Raw genomic sequence first — 19,567 nt, forward strand, 5'->3', positions numbered from 1 at the left:
AAATTAAGAGGTGGCAGGTATAAAACAGATTTGTTTAACTGTTAAAAAAAAAAAAAGCTACACTTCATTCTCAAAGATGTACTTGAACATAAATACTTGTCAAGTCAGGGAGACTGGATGATCTCTAAATAACTTAGTCACCCTTTTTTTGAGGGGTATAGCAAGGGTAGAAGGCTTTCTTGTCTTTGCAAATATTTACATTCAAGAACAAGTAGTGGCCAGGTGAGGTGGCCCATGCCTATAATCCCAGCACTTTCAGAAGCCAAGGAGGGAAGATCCCTTGAGCCTAGGATTTGGAGACCAGTCTGGGCAACATAATGAGACCCTGTCTCTACAAAAAAATACAACGATAAGCTGGGCATGGTGGCAGGTGCTCAGGAGGATGACGTTGGGAGGTCTGCTTGAGCCCAGGAGATTGAGGCTGCAGCAGGCTATGATTATGCCACTGCACTCCTGCCTGGGGAACAGAATGAGACTCTTTAAAAAAAAAAAAAAAAAAAGTAGAAGACCGTAAATCTAGTTTCCTAAGGATGCTCCAAATATTCGAGTTCTTATAATTGTCATTACCTTATGTTCACTCAAAATGGCTCTGACAAGTCCAAACACTTTGAGGGGAGGTGGGGAGCTATATCATTCATAAACAGCAGTTAAAAGTCATAGTAAAATGCAAAAGACGGGGGCACTGTATTAAAAGAAGACGTGGCCTCAAATCAAGAGAGAATATTTTAATTTCAGTAATCTTTAATGTCTTTATTTGTAAAATAAGAATAATAAAGCCTGCTTGCTCTCTTAGGGTCAAGAAAATAGTTGTGAAGGCAACTGTATATATCATCTATTAATATTATATCTAGATTTTTTAGAAAGTCATACTGTTATTTCCTTCCTTCAAATATTTCCAAAGGTCTATAGGAACAATCAGACTGTTAAAATGTATAAGAACATGTGAAGTGATTAGACCCAAATCCAAAATTATGCTACATCACACGAAATAGCCACACCAAATCCAGTAAAATTGTCAACATCATTAGGTGAACAAATATGTATGTAATGCCTCCGCTTTCAGGCAAAGTAGGTTAGGACATTTAAAACCTGCCCAGAACTCTATCTCTGAGACTTACTTGAGGACTTGTTGTCTAATGTTGTTTCTTAGCTGGTTCTTATTGAGATGCGGACTCCATGTGTGAGTTGCCAAGTGATTTGCAACAAAGTTGTCAACACGCTGTCTCAGATTCTGATACGCAGGCTAGAGAGAAAAAAACGAAGGTAAGTCTTCAAGGTTATACAGTATCAATATTCACCTCTCAGAAAAGTATTTTTACCATGGGACAACAAAGTTTCACAGTTTCTGACAATTCTGCTTCAAGATAACTTACACTCATTCAAATACTACTTATTTTGTGTAAGACAAGGTGTTTGGAGATATGAGGAATATAAAGAAGAAAGATACACCTCTTATTTATAGACAAAGGACTGGAAAATAAGACACGAACAAGTGTTATTATTAGATGATTTGGAGTAAAAAAGGGAGAAGAGCTGAGGAAGCATGCCTTCACTGAAAATGTGCCATTTGAGCTGGAAAAATCAATTGCACAAGGAAGCTGGGAATGAGAATGGCTGGCTTTGCTCATACAGTCAATGTAAACAAAGAGCAAGTGGATGAGCAAACTGGAGGCCAGGAGCATTTAGTGAGCCTCCAAATTGGTGGTCCAATTTGGCTATAGAAGAGAATACAAAAAGCAGAGAAATGAGGTTAAGACAGAGAGGTTGGGGCCAGGTGCTAAAAAGCTTTGGTTACTTGTACAAGTTTGGAATTACAGGGTAGAGAATGGGAGCCCACTGCACATATGGGCAGAGTGATAGAACAGCTAAGCTTTCTGATGGTTAATCATCCTACAGTGCAAGAGTAAAGAGACACAAAATACTTTAGGAAAGCATGCAATAAACTACAGTGAGGAAGGTCTTTACTGGGGTGGCAGAAACCAGCTAATGGCATAGACCCAAGAGAAATTATTGAGGGACAACTACTTGAACTAGGCATTAAATCTGAGGTAAGGCAATGGTTCTCTACCAAGAAGGATTTCACTCTCATCCCCCAAGGGACGCTTGGCAATGTCTGGAGACATTTTAGGTTGTTACAACTGATGAGAGTGCTATTGGCATCTAGTGGGTCAAGGGCAAGGATGCTACTGAAGATCCTACAATGCATAGGACAATCCCCCGACAGCAAAGAACTATCCAGCCCCAAATGTCGACAGTGCTGAGTCTGAGAACCCTTGATGTGCTCCCTGAGGGGAACATGGAGGGGAACACATATTACATCATCTCTACCTGAAGGGGCATTGCCTGGAAGGAATATGTGACCAAGCACTCAGCACTGCACTCCATTTCTAGAGGCTGTCTCCCAACACTGATGTTCTTTCTACCTTTCTTCTATACAGCTTTTAATGTGGATGAGTTTGAGTGTCCCTGACTGATATTAAGCAAGCACTGTATAGCCTCACCTTCTGCCATTTGCCTCCTTTTAGCTTCAAAGTTTACACTCCAGTGAGAAATTCTCATATCTGCACCTACCATCCTGCAACTACCATTCCCTCTGGTTGTCCATCTGACAAACTTCTCACCTTCAGAGCTCACCCTAATCTGTGAAATCATCTTGACACCGAAGGTAGGCTTATGGGCTCTTCATCCACGCTCCTACTGTTTTCTATACATGCTACCATTCGAGCAATTCTTGCACTACATTGTATTTTCGGAAGCAAGGCATATTTATCCTCCATTGATGTGTAAGCCTCCTCCTCTATCTCTCTTACAATTTGTTTTCATATAGCCTATCACACTGCTTGGCAAATGAGCAATTAAAATATACTTGTTAGCTGAATGGGTAACTATCTCTAACACAGAATGACAAACATTTTATCCCTCTGATGCCCTTTCATCAGTTCCAATTTTCAGGCCTTTGCTGATACTTATTTCCTGTCCTACATGATCATTTCCTATGTGCCTGTCCATTTATCCAAAATCGATATGAACTAAAATTAATTCTTTTTTTTTTTTTTTTTTGGCAGAGTCTTGCTCGATTGCCCATGCTAGAGTACAGTGGTGTGATCTCGGCTCACTGGAACCTCCACCTGCCGGGTTCCAGTGATTCTAGTGCCTCAGGCTCCTGAGTAGCTGGGACTACAGGCATGCGCCACCACACCTGGCTAATTTTTGTATTTTTAGTGGAGACAAGGTCTTGCTATATTGGCCATGTTGGTCTTGAACTCCTAACCTCAAGTGATCCACCTTTCTCGGCCTCCCAAAGTGCTGGGATTACAGGTGTCAGCCACCATACCCAGCCCTAAAACTAATTCTTAATTCTTTCTCCCCAATGATTCTAAAGCCTAATTCTTCTTTCCGGTATTCCCAAATCTAACACACATTCATTAGGCTCTAACATCACAATGCATTTGGCATTCTAGTCTAGTCTTCCCAGAACAAGTTCAAATCTGAACTACTCAACAGGTAATTTTCCTTGTTTTCAAGCTCTCCTTTCAGTAAAAAGTTGAGCAACTAGAGAAATATTAAGTATTCATTGAGAAGTATTCTCCTAGGAACATGTATGTACCCACATGTACACATATATACACACACACATATATTACACATACTTCCACCCTTTCTTCCTTTTCCAGTGCTTTGGTGAAAAGCCTTAGAGTTATCCTTGAGTCCTCCCTTTGTCTTCTACTTCACATGCATACTATTAGCAAATTCTCTCAACAGTAGCATGAAAATACACCCAGAATCTGACCACTTCCCACTACCTTTACTGACCTCAATCTGTTCCAAGGCATTCTCATCTGTCTGAATTATAACAACTGGCCTCATGCAGAATTCTATCCTTACCTACAACAAAGTTGTCTTCTAAAAATCAGGTAACCATGTAATTTATTGACCCATTCAAATCACAACTTAGCAAGAAAGGGGAAGCTATTACACGTGGTCAACCCATCTGAAATGGAAGTCAGATCATGTCCTTCTTTTGCTCAAAACCTGCCAATGGCTTCTGAGCTCGAGTAAAAGCCAAGGTCTTCTGATGGCTCCCAAGACCTGCCAGATCTGTGAAGGCATACCTACCTCACCTCTTGTCACTTTCCCCTTAGTGGGTCTGTCTCAGCTCTTCTATACTTGCTATGCTCTCTTCTTGGAATGCTCAAGCCCCAGACAGCTGCATTGCCCCTTCAATTCCTTCACAGATGGCTCAAGTATCATCACATTGAAACCTACCCTGAACAGCTTATTCGAAATAAAACAGTAAGCCCATCCATCCCTCATCTTGCTTTTTTCCATAGGACCTACCATACATTACTTGTTGTCTATTTTTTTTTTCTACTAGGATGTAAGCTCCATAACAGTGGGATGTTTGGTTCACTGCTGTATCCCTGGCACCTAAAAAAATGACTGGTACATAAGAGTTGCTCAATGAATGTTTGTTGGGTGAATAAATTGACCAGGGGCCATTTATAACTAAGAAAGTGTCCAAAAAATCAGACTTTCTTACTTGACAAGAGAGGTACCATATTTACCTGGCTGGCGAGCTCCCTGAAGGGCCTCTTGATCATCCCTCCTCACACGCTCCAGATGCTAATCAGTGCAAAGGAGACAGAATGGCTTTGTAACCACTAAGCTTGCTCCAGAGATCTGGAAACTGGTAGTCTATAACGGAGGAGTCTTTGCAGTAGTTGGAGCTTAGGGTTGCCCATGGTTCCATTTCTTTGGGTGGGAAGGGCTGATTTGGTCTGTTACAGTCAGATCTCTCTCCTGGTTAAGGACTATCAATGACCCTGGACAGTTTGGAGGGGGGTTCTATGGTCTTCTGGTGTAGCAGCAGACTTTGGTACTTCTCATCCTGGTTTAAACACACTAAACTGGATGACAGTTTTGCTCTTAGCACCTGGCAGGTATCAAATGTCTTCATTCTTAAATATGCATGTGACAGACATAATCCACTATAACTCTATATGCTACAAGTTAAGACTTTTTGACAGAAAGCAGGTCAGTCTTTGAGGTTCAAGTGGCAGATGAAACTCAAGGATTCCATTAAAGTGATGGTTCTTTGCATGAACAGGGAATCTTCTACTTTGGCCCACTCATCATATTGATATGAATGTTATGTTCTGATGAAGAAAACTTTGGCTTTTTGGGAAGCAGGGGGGAATATATTTTTTTTTTTTTCAAATAAGAAAATGAAGTATAAAATGGTATTCAATGAGAACAAATCTTTTAAATCAAATTAAAATCTACCTAATTGCTAACTAAGGGAGTAGAAGAGAAGGAGAGAGTCATGGGGTAAAGGAAGTACCAGAACATAACCTGTAACATAACCAGGAGCAGGTACAGAGGTTAGTGGCAGGGAGGGGGAGAGAGAGAGAGATTTTGTGGGAGAGTTTAAGCTAGCGTCTGAGCACCAGAACTTCAACCATAGCTGAGTGTTCTTTTTTGTCTGGGAGGGTGTCATTTCAGTTCTAATTTCTCAAAGCAACAGAAATATTAGAAATTTTCATAATTATTAAATAGTATATGCAACTGTATTGAAAAATGTGTATTGTTGCTTTTTAAAAATTTTTGTTTTTTAGACCAAGTCTTGTTCTGTCTCCCAGGCTGGAGTGCACTGGCACAATCTCGGCTAACTGCAACCTCTGTCTCCTGGCTTCAAGCAATTCTCCTGCCTCAGCCTCCCGAGTAGCTGGGACTACAGGCATGTGCCACCATACATGGCTACTTTTTTTGTATTTTTACTAGAGATGGGGTTTCACCATTTTGGTCAGGTTGGCCTCGAACTCCTGACCTCTAATGATCCACCCACCTCGGCCTCCCAGAAGACCAGGGTTCTGTGGTCTTCTGGTGTAGCAGCAGACTTTGGTACTTCTCATCCTGGTTTAAACACACTAAACTGGATGACAGTTTTGCTCTTAGCACCTGGCAGGTATCAAATGTCTTCATTCTTAAATATGCACGTGACAGACATAATCCACTATAACTCTATATGCTACAAGTTAAGACTTTTTGACAGAAAGCAGGTCAGTCTTTGAGGTTCAAGTGGCAGATGAAACTCAAGGATTCCATTAAAGTGATGGTTCTTTGCATGAACAGGGAATCTTCTACTTTGGCCCACGGTGGCCAGGCATGAGCCACCGGGCCTGGCCATACTGTTGCTTTTTAAAGTTCCTGCATCTGTGGCTGAATATGTCTTATTACTAGAAGAAGGGTTGATCATCAATTCTATTCCTATTTCTAATTTTTATAGTCATGCGCCCTGAGAAACCTTGTTCATATAAACAAGTACTGTGCCTCGGAATGGAAGAGTTTTGTTGTAACAATATCATTCAATTCTTGACCTCAAAAAAGAGGCTAAGAACATTAAAATAGGTTCTTATTCCATGGTTCCTGAACTCACTGAAACTGTATATGTTATTAGATTGATTCTCATGAAATTGCCTATAGTTGACCATTCTGAAGTAGAAAAACAGCGTTTTAATGTGTTACTTGCGCATTTTTCTTGAGAGAAGGTCCTAACTTTCATTAGATGATCAGAGATACTGTGCTTCCCTCCTTCCCTCCAAAAAAGGTTTTAATCCTTTACTTTGAAGGGTCTGGCAGGGATATTATAGACACATACCAATAACATTTTGTGGGAATAGGATAATAAAAAAGTTGAGCCTCAGACATTGCAGCAGTACATTACAATTTTTAATTTGTATACATAATGATTCATGGGTTTCTGAGAACACACAGATTCATGGGTTTCTGAGAACAGCAAAGTAAAAATTCCACTTGTTGAATACGAATAACTAACTTTATTTGATAACATTTACCTGGCCATGTCTAACCTTTTCCCATTAAATAACAACAAAAATAATAAAGGCAATAGAAATTATTTCTAAAAGGTAGCAGTGCATATTCCTGAAGACAAAAGTAAAAAAAACTATACTTCCTAAATAGATGAACACTCCCAAGTGAATTGAATTCTCTGTGGTGCAAAACCTCCAATATCCCGAAAAACCACGTTTTACATAGTGGGCCCAGTATGAGTCCTTATAAAGGAAGATGTACCAGGATATTCAAGAGTTTCCCCAGAAGACATAGTGGAACTGTGTGCAGTTCACCTGAAAGCTTTAGAAGAAACTGTGGATGTTGTAAACATGCATTTCTCAAAGATACAAAGCTCCTCAGAACAACTAAACATACTATGAGAAAACCCTCGACCGGGCGCGGTGGCTCATGCCTACTGGGCGAATCACGAGGTCAGGAGATCGAGACCATCCTGGCCAACACGGTGAAACCTTGTGTCTACTAAAAATACAAAAATTAGCAGGGCGTGGTGGCACGCGCTTGTAATCCCAGCTACTTGGGAGGCTGAGACAGGAGAGTCGCTTGAACCCGGGAGGCGGAGGTTGCAGTGAGCCGAGATCACGCCATTGCATTCCAGCCTGGCGACAGGGCGAGACTCTGTCTCAAAAAAAAAAAAAAAAAAAAAAAAGGAAACCCTCATTTCATCAAAACTCCAATCCAATGGACCCAACCAGATTTAACAAGCAGACAAAAACAACCCCTACAAACCAGTTAATTTTCCAACATGCTTTCTGCTTCCAGAATTCTAGACTGTACTGTGGTTTTCCATCCATCTCACTGACTGCTCTTTCCTGGTGTCTTTGGCTAATTCTTTGCCAATCCAGCTAAGTTTACTTGTTCCTGCTAATGTCCCTTTCACTCTGACATTTGGTACAAAATCCCTTCCCCTTTCCAGCCTCTCTTTCTGGACAGGGAACCTTGTTGCTGTCCTTTCCCTTCTCTACATTACTCTCCTGAATCTGCTCTCTTTCCTGTCCTTTCTCCACTTCAGTATCTGCTGTCACCTCTCCTGCATCTTTTCTCCACTGAATGACTCGGTTCTCTCTACCCCACCTTCCTGTCCCTTCTTACCTTAGAATGGTGACATGGCCTAAGTTACCTAAATCAGGCAATCACTGCTAGAAACAATACTAAAGTCCTGTCTCAGGTTTGCCTCCTTATCTTTGCGCTCCCACCCCCACGATGTCCAGCAAAGCATATTACACATAACTTGATTCAATTACCATTTAGTCATTTCTCCAAAGGATAAAGGCCCTTACCGCCCAGAAACCTTCAAGAAAGAAGGCAAACATAACTTCGATACAAAGTAAAATCATCAGATATGAGAATGAATACAAAACTGGCTACTGTTAGCGCCACTGTTTCCAAACCAGTTCCTGTAAGAACAATGCCTTAGTCTTGCTCATCAGACCGGGGTAATCACTGTGCCGAAACCATGACTGGCACGTAGTAGGTACTTAAACACTAGTCGGTAAAACGAACCAAAGGACACGCTAAGGAATGAACACTCTGTGCTTTGCACAGTCCGTGGCACACAGCTGCAGCTCCAAGAGGAAGCCACTGCAAAAGAAGCGCGCCCTTGGGTCCTCCCCTTCCCTCGCAGACCCCCAAACCCGGCGCGCTCCTAACCTTGGTGTCCACGTCGGCCAGGCAGTCTCTGCGGAACTGGTCGAAGAGCCCCTGGCTCTTGAGGTGGTTCACGATCATGGCCACGAGCTGCGGGTCCCCGGCGCCCGCACCCGCGCCGCCCGCCCCGCCCGCGCCGGGGCCAGCCCCGGGGCCCGGCGGCGGCGGCGGTGGCTGCGGCTGCGGCTGCGGCGGGGGAGGCGGCGGCGCCGGAGGAGGCGGCTGCGGCTGTGGGTTGGTGGCCATGGTGGCCTGTGCCGGGGAGGGCAAGGGCCCTGACCGGCGGACGATCCTGGGAGGCGGCGGCTGCACTGGTCCCGCCGCCTGAGGGAAGCCAACGGGATGTTGTTACGGAACCAGCGGATCCAGAGCAACCCCGGAAGTGAAAGGGAACTGGGGGAAAGGAGGAAAAGACGGTGACAACATTGACGAAAGTCCGGCGACGGAGGCCGCGAAGAGCCAGTTTCGACCGTCGCCGGGCGCAAGCGCCCTCGCGAGGCCGAGCTGCGCCGGAAGTGGCGGCGACTGTGGCGACGGAGACGACAAGACTGTGCTGGTCGCGGGTTGTGGGGTTTAGGTCACCGGCAGGGGTCTGGAGTCCCTGGAGGTTAGGGCTTCGACCCGCGCGACACCTGGGGCCCTAGGTCTGAGCGGGGGCAGTGCGTTTCTGGCCCCGCTTCATCCGCGACGGCATTTTAGGCCTGCCTCTCTTGCTCCAGTTTCCCGGAGCAGTGCATAGAGATCCATAGACATTTGTAATGCGAACCCTACGTGGATCTGCTCATTCTAACTTCGCCCAACCCTCTTCGTTCTTAGCCTGTGATCCTGCACTATTCTTGTCCCAGCAGGTAGCTCCAAGTTCCTTCTGTCTCTCTTCTGCCTGCACATACCATTTCCCCGTGGGGGTCCCTTGTTTCTGGCAGTGTGCCTGTGGATTAGATCCGATCCCTCCAGCCCGTTCTTCCTATCTGTGAAGACAAATCGACAGGCTTTTATTTTTAGGAGATTTGCTATTGATTACTATGATTATAGCAGGTAAAACATCTATAGCACATATTATGTACCAAGCGTGGCGTTAAGTGCTTTTACATGTATTAACGCATTTAATCTTTGGACAAACACTAAGAGCTAGGTCTGATTACTGTCCCCAGTTTGCAAATCAGGGAACCAAGGCTCAGATAAATTAAGTATGTTGAGTAAGATTACACAGCTAGCAAATCACCTGCTTTTGGACTGCATCATCTTTGAAATTATTATTAGTACGTGGTCAAAGCAACATAAATATTAGAAAATTTCATAATTACTAAATAGTGTGTGTAACTTTATTGAAAAATGCATATTGTTGCTTTTTAAAGTTCCTACATCTGTGGCTGAATATATCTTATTAGTAGGAAAAGAAGGGTTGAGCATCAATTCTATTCCTATTTGTAATTTTTATAGCTGTGTGCCCTGAGAAACCTTGTTCATATAAACAAGTACTGTGCCTAGGAATGGAAGAGTTTTGTTGTAGCAATATCATTCAATTCTTGACCTCAAAAAATTAGATTTGATTATCTATGAGCTGACTTCAATTAGGCCCTCCTTCTATTTTATGGAAAGCAAAGAGCTGAAAACCACCTGGCTTGCCAAAGGATTTGTTTACTTAATCCTTATTTTTTCACTCTTTCAGATTCTGGGAAATATACCAGATAGGTTTTACCAAGATACCAAATGACTATGAATTAGACCTGATTTTTTCAATGAGGTGTACCTTTCACCTGATATACTGAAAGTTTGGAGAATATCTAAACATTTTTCATTTTCATAAATAGTTTTGGATAAGATTTATTTTTGTTATCAGGTGGTTAAATTATGTTTTTGTCAAAATTTGCAACTGCAGATTTAGCTCATTCAAGTTCAAAATCTTTGTCACTGGGCACAGTGTCTCACGCCTGTAATCCTAGCACTTTGGGAGGCTGAGGCGGGAGGATCGGTTGAGTCCAGAGTTCAAGACCAGCCTGGGCAACATGGCAAGACCCCACCTCTACAAAAAAATAAAAGAAATTAGGCGGTGTAGTGGCGTGCACCTGTAGTCCTACCTACTTGGGAGGATTAGGTGGGAGGATCACCCGAGCCCAAGAAGTCAAGTCTGCAGTGAGCCATGATGGGGCCAGTACACTCCAGGTTGAGCAACAGAGTGAGACCCTTCTCAAAAACAAGAAAAAAAAAGGTTTGTTAAGAATGTTAAATGTTTACCTTATAACCTAATTAACAGAGCCCATTTTCATTGTCAAACTAGACAAATCAGATTTACTTTAAATCAGAAACAATTTGACTTCATTGTTTCAATTCAGAGTATCCTGTGTGTTTTGAGGAGTTTGATGAAGATAGCAGAGAGGAGAAAGTCATGGATATGAATCTTAAAAGATTAATTACTATATGCAGTCAAGGCTGGGCGTGGCAGCAAACCCCTGTAATCCTAGAGCTTTGTGAGGCTGGGGCAGGTGGGTGGCTTGAAGCCACAAGTTCAAGACCAGTAACAAAACAAAACAAAAAAGTAACCAGGTGTGATGTTGCAGACCTTGAGAAACTGAGGTGGGAGGATTGCTTGAGCCCAGGAGGTTAAGACTGCAATAAGCTATGGTGGTGCCACTTCATTCCAGCCTTGGTGACAGAGTGACACCCTGTCTCAAAAAAAAAAAAAAAAAAAAAAGCAGTCAAGATTACAAGACTAAAATAGCGTAAAATATAAATGTTTTATTCATTTTAAAAATTAGTTATGAGCCGGGCGCGGTGGCTCACGCCTGTAATCCCAGCACTTTGGGAGGCCGACATGGGCGGATCATGAGGTCAGGAGATCGAGACCATCCTGGTTAATACGGTGAAACCCCGTCTCTACTAAAAATACAAAAAATTAGCCAGGCGTGGTGGTGGGCGCCTGTAGTCCCAGCTACTTGGGAGGCTGAGGCAGGAGAATGGCAGGAACCCGGGAGGCGGAGCTTGCAGTGAGCCGAGATCGCACCGCTGCACTGTAGCCTGGGCGACAGAGTGAGACTCTGGGTCTCAAAAAAAAAATAAAAAAAAATAAAAATTAGTTATGAAAAGGTGAGACTATAACATTTACTTAATTACCAACAATACAATATAATATATGTTGCTATATTCTAAGTTTATAAGTTTTTAAGTGTGTGGTATGATAAAAAGACATGGTATTTCTTTGGTATATTTGGATGTGTGAATCAAATTTATTCAGCTTTTTGGGAATAACTAAGTAGAAATCATCCATAAAAGTTCTGAAAAACTTTACAAATTTAATTAGGCATAATGTCCAAGTTTAAAAAAGTAATGAGACAATAAAGTATTTACTGCTAAAAATGAATTGGGTCAGTGGCTAATAAATAATTTGTTTTGTGAACAGTATATAGAAAATCTTAAATATTTTCTACAATGCAAGAAGATGAGAACTTTATAATGGTTCACAATCCATTTTCTCAAATGTGCCCTAATTGCCTTATTGAATAACACACACTGAATCTAAAAGATACATCTTTGTATCTCTGAGTTCAAGTTACACTGGGTAGACACATTATACTGGTTGCAATGTAACTTGAACAATTTTGTAGCCTTGAAAAACATTCTAGATACATTGAAAAGAATCTGGGTCACCGATCTGCACTGCCTTGGCTGTTCCAAGGTGATTTTCTTTTCGTATGAATACAGGTCCTAGGGATGAGTGTTTTAAATACCCAAAAAACAACAACAAAAAGCATACATTTAAATCTTTTTAAAAGACTGCTTTAAGCAGTCAGCATTTCCTACCAATGACGTCTTTGCTGTGTTTCCTCCTGATTGTCTCTCTAGAAAAGAGTATATAATTTCTTTTTTTTGGTAAATTATTTTATTTCTTCCATGATGATTTAGAGGGACTATATTCAAACCAGTACAAATATTTCATAAATAATATCTTGCCATTTTCTAACCAATTGAGTAATTTGTTCCACAATAAGCTACCTCACATTTTTCAGCAAGAAATACGTTAAATTTGAACAGTAAAGACATTACATAATGAATTAGGACACAATTAAAATGTGCTTTAAATATTTCTTTAAGGGAGAAGACACCACACTTCTACTCAATGAAGATAAACTTTTTTTTTTTTTTTTGTGACGGAGTCTTGCTCTGTCGCCGAGGCTGGAGTGCAGTAGTGCGATCTTGGCTCACTGCAAGCTCTGCCTCCCAGGTTCACACCATTCTCCTGCCTCAGCCTCCTGAGTAGCTGGGACTACAAGTGCCCGCCACCATGCCCGGCTAATTTTTTTTGTAGTTTTAGTAGAGACGGGGCTTCACTGTGTTAGCCAGGATGGTCTCGATCTCCTGACCTCATGATCTGCCTGCCTGGGCCTCCCAAAGTGCTGGGATTACAGGCATGAGCCACCTCGCCCAGCCGAAGAGAAACATTTTTGCAGTCCAGAGGTCTTTTATTTTTTTAACACTTATTTTGCCATGAATTCATAGGGAATAGATTCCAGCAGCTCAGTCTCCTTCCCATTGGTTCTCACAAACTGTGCTTCCCTGGGTGGAGCAGGCTGGCACTTCAGTTGAACCCAGGTACCTTTCTCTTTGTTTTCTTTTTCTGGTCATTTTCCTTCATGTGTTTCAGGAAGCTATCTCGGCTCTTAGTGAGCTTAATGTGCTCGATACGCACATTAATTCTCTTGGCAAGAATCAGGCCCTTGTTGGTATACAACAATGCCAGCAGCGTGCTGGGTAACATTGTAGACTCTTCTAGTTGTGCCATGGTAACACTTGTGGGGCATTCCTTTTTGAACAGTAGCCATTCTCTTGATGTCTACAATATCACCTTTTTTTTTTTTTGAGACAGGAGAGAGAGTCTCACTCTGTCGTCCAGGCCATAGTGCCGTGGCGCTATCTTGGCTCACTGCAACTTCCGCCTCCTGGGTTCAAGCAATTCTCCTGCCTCAGCCTCCTGAGTAGCTGGGACTACAGGCATGCCCTGCCATGCCTGGCTAATTTTTTGTATTTTTAGTCAAGATGGGGTTTCACTGTGTTGCCCATGCTGGTTTTGAACTTGTGAGCCCAGGCAATCCGCCCACCTCGGCCTCCCAAAGTGCTAGAATTACAGGTGTGAGCCACCAAGCCTGGCCTCACCTTTCTTATAGATTCATATATACATGGCCAAAGGAACAACTCCATGTTTTCTAAAAGGCCTAGAGGACATCTGTCGGGTGCCTCTCCTCTTTCCCTTTGTGTTCGTCATTTTGGCGAATTACTGGAAGACAGCGGTTCCGGCTGAAAGGAAAAGAGTATATAATTTCTAGCAGTAGTTAGGGCATAGAAGAGGTGAGATCTTCACAAAAGAAACTGCCATCATTCTCCTACTCTATGCCTGTCTGAGTTCAGAACATTCCAACAAAGGTCAGGTACTTTCTCCCTTAACAGGATTGACTCTCATTCTGTTCCCCAAGTCTGATGTCAAGGTGACAGAGTTTATAGTTTGCGAATTAGGGAAGCAACAATAGGTGATGATGGCCCCTGTTACTGGTAGCCATGTGCATGGTTAGGCACCAGATTCCTGACAAATGGTTTTTGTCAGGAATTTCTTTTCCTTTCTACAGTCCAGCCTGTCCCCCACCCCTACCCAATCCTCCAGACTGCTTCTGTGAGCTTGTCCAGTGAAAGTCAAACATTGATCTCCTAACACCAGGGATCCCATCTGATTATTCGTCAGAGTTGTTTCCTTATTTTCTTCCCCTTGTACCCCCATGGGATCCCCACTCTTTGGCATCTCCATTCCCGACTAGGCTTTTCATAATCAAAGGGAAATCAATATTTCCTAAATCTCCATCAACCCAAAGCTTAGTAGAAACTTTGAAAGTTCGTTTTTCAGTGATAACGGAAAACATCGGAGGAGGGGGAGAGGACATGTGTTAATATTATTTGTCTTTCCAATGCAAGCTGCATGGTCACACATATTCTATTTTTGTTGCAGTATAGTAGTGCCCTGTTATCCATGGGGGATATGTTCCAAGACCCCTAGAGGATGCTTGAAACCATGGAGGAACAAACTATACCATGGGCTGGGCTCAGTGGCTCACACCTGTAATCCCAGCACTTTGGGAGGGTGAGGCAGGTGGATCACCTGAAGGCAGGAGTTCAAGACCAGCCTGGGCAACATGGTGAAACTCCATCTCTACTAAAAATACAAAGTTAACCGGGTATGGTGTCACGTGCCTATAATCCCAGCTACTTGGGAGGCTAAGGCAGGAGAATTGCTTGAATCCGGAAGCCGGCGGTTGCAGTGAGCTGAGATCGTGCCACTGCACTCCAGCCTGGGTGATAGAGTCAGACTCCATCTCAAAAACAAAAACAACAACAAAAACCCCAAAAGTCTATACTGTGTATATTATATTTTTTTCTGATCTGATAACCAAGATGGCTGCTAAGTGACTTAACAGGCAGCTAACATACACAGAGTGGATATGCTGGACAAAGGGATGGCATGGTATGGTGCAAGATTTCAGCATGTTTGTCAGAATGGTGCAACACTTAAAATGTATTCATTGTTTCTGGAATTTTCCATTTAATATTTTCAGACCACAGTTGACCATGAGTAACTGAAACTGCAGAAAGCAAAACCTCAAATAAGGCAGGACTACCATGATGGTGGGGCTGCAGAGTGTTATACAATGTTAATGTGAAAAGCGGGTACTGATTTTTCCCTTGAAAGAATTGTCACTTGCCCTAGGGTCAGGGCATGGAAGTGGAGTGGTACAGGGGGACAGTAAGGCAGAGAGGACGAAGGGTGATTCTGGGACATTTGGCATAGACTGGAAACTTCAGCTCCCTGCCAGTCTGGGAGTGTTGTAGGGTAGGGGTGCTTTGGAAATGGTGGCTTTGTGAGAATATATTACCTTGAGGAGCTGCAGAATTCAAGAGAGTGGCCAAGTTCTAGTTGGTGGGAAAAAGGAGGATGTGTCTGGGGCAGCAAGACAGGAGTAATGTCAACTGAGACGAGGATTGGGATACATAAGCCCCTGGGATATTGGAGTAGGAACTTCAGAAGAGGAGGGAAATAGAGTGGTGGGGGGTATTTGGTGAAGTTGGACCTATCAGTCACATTAGTTATTAATACTTTATGGGATGGGAGATTCCTCTGTGGGTAATCTGGAAGACTAATAGTGGTTCTCAAATTTTAGCCTACACCAAAATCTCCTAGAGGACTTGTTAAAATAGAGTACTAGGCACGCCATCCTGAGTCCCTGATTTGATAGGTCTGGGACAGAGCCTGAGAGTTTCCATTGTTAACAAATGCATTTAACAAATGCTGATAGAACACTATATGAGAAACACTGGACTAGACAAATCACGGCCCACAGGCCTAATCCAGTCTACCTGTTTTTATAAACAAAGTTTTACTGAAACCGTACTTTCTAGTTTGAACATTTTTTTTTGTAAGATGATACTCCTTTTATGCAAGTACCATTAATTTTTATACATTTCTTTGCTCATAAGGTTTAAACTCCTGGTAGTGATAGCAATCAGATTTATAAAAGTAAGATTTATTATGAAGTTAGGTAGCCTGTGCCTATTAATGCTACTGAATTGCTGGCTATTTTGAAAATTGAGATGTCAATATTGCAGATGGCTTGAAATGCAAGGTATCTTTTATATGCTTATAAAGATGGAAAGAAGCTTTGCATTTAGCATTTTCCATTTAGGCTTTGTGAAAATTGTTCTTATTTTAAAAATAGCCCTAACATGTGTGTGTCTGTGTGTGTGTGTGTTTCCTGAGTATTCTAGATGGTACATGGTATTCTGAAAACTGAAAGTCACACCTCCAGGAATAAAATTAGGAAAAGCAGAAATTGGAGGGAGGTCTCTAGAAATGATGTAGTATTATCTGAATACCTCAAATCTAATCCAGGTCATCTGGGTAGAAATTCTGGGAGGGATTTATTTAAATATAAATAAAAATTTGTATACCTAAATAAAGATTGTATTCTACATTTGAAGAAAGAGTTGTTTTTTTTTTTGTTTTGTTTTGTGTTTTAAGAGTAAGAGGTGGTTGGCATGCATGTATGAAAGGAAGGAATTCAAAGTGTCTAGAATTGGCACTGTCTCTGGAGAGCATGCATTTGCTATTGGGTGCCAGCCATTAAGATGATCTCATTCATTTCTCCTCTGATTCTGTGATTGTTAAGTAACTTTTGGATCACATTTGGCTTCACATTTGGATTTGCCTATAGGAAGAAAAAGTGCTGAGTAGTAAATATAGGAAGCTGTCTACTTGGTAGTTATATCTCTCCCCATGAATGATTTTTATGCATAAAACCCTAAGAGCTTGGCGAATTTTGAAACCACCCAGGATTCAGATCTATTCTTTTTGTACTGATAGTCACCTCTTACCTTGCAAGACTGCAGGCTGGACCCCACACTATGGTCAACAAATTGAAGTGTTGCTGTGGGGGTCCAGTCAGGGTGACCAGCTTACCTAACATCTAATTTTATTGGCCATATTTTAAATATAAGTTGTCTTGATTACCACTTAAATTGTAGAGAACGAGTAGACTACTAGTAAACTAGGAAAAGAAAGTTTTTCTTGTAGAAAACTAGGAAAAGACAAAGAAGTCTATTGACAACAGGGAATAGGCTGGAGATGAGGACCTGACCCAAGATGGACAAATTAGAACCCTTCCTTGGGATTTTTGAAGGTAATTGGTATCCCTCTCAGCTACATTGTAAGCAGGTGTCTGGAGTCGGTAATAACCAGATCCTCTGTCATGTGTATCAAGCCAATCTGCCAAGAAAAAAAAAATCCACTAATCCACAGAGTGAAGCACAGATGAGGATGGACAACGAACACCCTGCCTGTGGTCCACATATTCCTGAGGGCCAGGTATGCTTGTTTCTACCGTCATTTGATTATGTGAAACAAATTCACAACTAATAAAAGTCCTATTTTTAATAGGAAATGTGCATTATTATGGTAATGGGTGGAAACTAACACAGGAAGGGATTGTGAGGAATTGTGCAGTGTGGATAGGCATCTAGTGAATGTCAACATTTACCAGCATCATTTACCCCTTTATAAGCAAACTGAACATTGGCTTGACACACCAGTACTGGCGTGCATCAAAACATCAATAGAAGTCTGATATTCTTCAAGCCAGATGGATTGTTCTTTTCATATTGGTGCCTCAGTTGCTCTAGAGAGGCCATGGGGATTGGATGGGGAGAAGTCTTTTAAAACAAGAACTGTCTTGGTAGAAAGATTTGATTCAGGAATGATTTCTATGGAGTTTAACCATATGCCTCAAAAGTTGGAATTAGGCTGTTCATTTTTTAAGATAATAAATAAATAATAAAAGAAAAGAAGATATGCCTATTTCTTGAAAGAAAAGTGAATAAAAATACTCATCAATGATTATTTTAGATAATGAATACTAAATTGACAATTGTACATTTTTATATTTAAGTGAAATGATTGTGATTAAATGAATCCCTTTTTCTGTGACAAGAATAAGAGACGATGATTGAAAGGTGAGATTCAAATAATCATTACAAAAAGACTGAGTGACAGCTATGATTCTTGACTGGACACAAATTTAAATTTCTACCCTTTTAAGTTATTAGAAATGCACTTTGATGTGGCAAATATGTTGAACAAATTATAATGGTGGTTAAACAATTTTTCATTAAAGCATTTCAACAGAGAAGGGAGAAGGAGATGTACTTTATTTATATATTCACATTTTCTGTTTTTAGGCAACTGTACAGGGATTCTTACCATCTTGTTGGTGCCCATGTACATGTGCTTAGGATAGGAAGCCCAGTGGGCATGTGCCCCAGTCTCTGGGAGCCAATGTGCTAATTGTAAGTATAAAACATGCTTCTTATATACACAATACATATAAAAAATACAACAGGAGTAGTTGGTTAAGTAGAAATGAGGACAAAGTGGTAGAAAATGATGTGCATTTATGTATTGGTGAGAAAGTAATTGTGTTTTTTTGCCATTACTTTCAATGGAAAAAAACCGCAATAACTTTTGCACCAACCTAATAGAAGGGTGGCTGAGATGGGGTAAGCTAACCAATGAAGCACTCTGGAGAAAATGGCCTTGAACCACATATGGGGAGAAGACAGGAACAAGTCATAAGCAGCTTAATTTTCAAGATCAGTCATAAGAAAATATATATTCAGACATTCATAGGTATATTCCGTTTTCTTAATTTACAGAAAACATTAGCTCTTTGATTAATGAATGGTAGAGGAACTAATTTAAATGAAATCTAAAGCAAAGGCAGACGTATTTCATTTCTTAGACTAAATGTGAAATATATTAATATAAAACAGGAAGAATCGGTGAAGAAGTTTATTTTTACAGGCGTAAGGATGAAGAGGTGAAGCCTGGGGTCTTTGAATTTCAGCTTTGCATTTCAGCTTTGTTATTTTCTAGCTTATGACCATGAGCAAATTGCTCAACCTCTCTGTGCCGTTTTTCTTGTGAAATTGTAACAATAACAGACCTTGCCATAGGGTTTTAGGGACTGTTGATTGAGACCACTTTTTCATTCAACAAATATGTTTTGGGCTCCTATTATGTGCCAGGTGTTGTACTAGGAATGGGAGAGGAAGCAGTTGAGCAGAACAGACAAAGCCCTTTCCCTAAAGGTGCTTCCATTCTACTGGAATTGCTAGTCAGAAAAGAAATGCACAACTGAAATATCAGATAGAGATAAGTACTCTGTAGAAGATTAAGTGGAGTGATATGATAAAGGGTGACTGGATAGCAACTTACAGGTTAGGGTAGGCCTTTCTCACCTCCGAACGTCACATTGAAATCAGCCATGAGAAAATAAGGAGGGGCAGCCCTGGCAGGGAGAAGAGCTTGTGCTGAGGTCCTGGGGCAGGAATCAGCTTAATGTATTTGAAGAACATAAATAAGGTCATTGCAGCTGAGGTTAATGGGCAAGAGGCAGAGTGGTAGTGGATGAAATTAGATCATGTAGGGCTTTGAAAACAAGGATAAGGAAGTGTGTTTTCTACT

General features: G+C 41.5%; 1 protein-coding gene, 1 non-coding gene and 1 pseudogene across 10 annotated transcripts in view, besides 4 other annotated features; 1 reads left to right on the forward strand and 2 right to left on the reverse strand.

Annotated features, from left to right (window-relative positions):
* Positions 1–8,901, reverse strand: part of BOD1L1 (biorientation of chromosomes in cell division 1 like 1) — a 58,988-nt gene extending 50,087 nt beyond the window's left edge. For all 9 annotated transcript variants that reach the window (XM_017008010.2, XM_005248151.4, XM_017008009.2 and 6 more), the window contains exons 1-2: positions 8,521–8,901; positions 1,119–1,243 (exon numbers count right to left, since the gene is read on the reverse strand). In XM_017008010.2, coding sequence (XP_016863499.1) covers positions 1,119–1,243; positions 8,521–8,763 — 368 coding nt within the window. In that variant the 5' untranslated portion in view covers positions 8,764–8,901. The remainder of the gene's footprint in view (positions 1–1,118; positions 1,244–8,520) is intronic.
* Positions 8,330–9,060: an enhancer, noted in NCBI's record as "H3K27ac hESC enhancer chr4:13628778-13629508 (GRCh37/hg19 assembly coordinates)". NCBI's record gives its function as "activates a minimal SCP1, AML or CMV promoter by ChIP-STARR-seq in primed H9 embryonic stem cells {active_cell/tissue: H9 hESC(primed)}" and the evidence as "EXISTENCE:reporter gene assay evidence [ECO:0000049][PMID:30033119]".
* Positions 8,558–8,757: a silencer, noted in NCBI's record as "silent region_15290". NCBI's record gives its function as "represses an Ori minimal core promoter by ATAC-STARR-seq in GM12878 lymphoblastoid cells {active_cell/tissue: GM12878}" and the evidence as "EXISTENCE:reporter gene assay evidence [ECO:0000049][PMID:35858748]".
* Positions 8,898–9,057: an enhancer, noted in NCBI's record as "active region_21327". NCBI's record gives its function as "activates an Ori minimal core promoter by ATAC-STARR-seq in GM12878 lymphoblastoid cells {active_cell/tissue: GM12878}" and the evidence as "EXISTENCE:reporter gene assay evidence [ECO:0000049][PMID:35858748]".
* MIR5091 (microRNA 5091) lies at positions 9,041–9,133 on the forward strand. The gene has a single exon (NR_049814.1). It is a non-coding gene; the product is annotated as a microRNA 5091 (primary transcript).
* Positions 9,061–9,791: an enhancer, noted in NCBI's record as "H3K27ac hESC enhancer chr4:13629509-13630239 (GRCh37/hg19 assembly coordinates)". NCBI's record gives its function as "activates a minimal SCP1, AML or CMV promoter by ChIP-STARR-seq in naive H9 embryonic stem cells {active_cell/tissue: H9 hESC(naive)}" and the evidence as "EXISTENCE:reporter gene assay evidence [ECO:0000049][PMID:30033119]".
* On the reverse strand, positions 12,961–13,817 carry LOC100288683 (ribosomal protein L21 pseudogene; annotated as a pseudogene).

Source organism: Homo sapiens, chromosome 4, assembly GCF_000001405.40.
Source record: "Homo sapiens chromosome 4, GRCh38.p14 Primary Assembly".
Taxonomy (NCBI): Eukaryota; Metazoa; Chordata; class Mammalia; order Primates; family Hominidae; genus Homo; species Homo sapiens.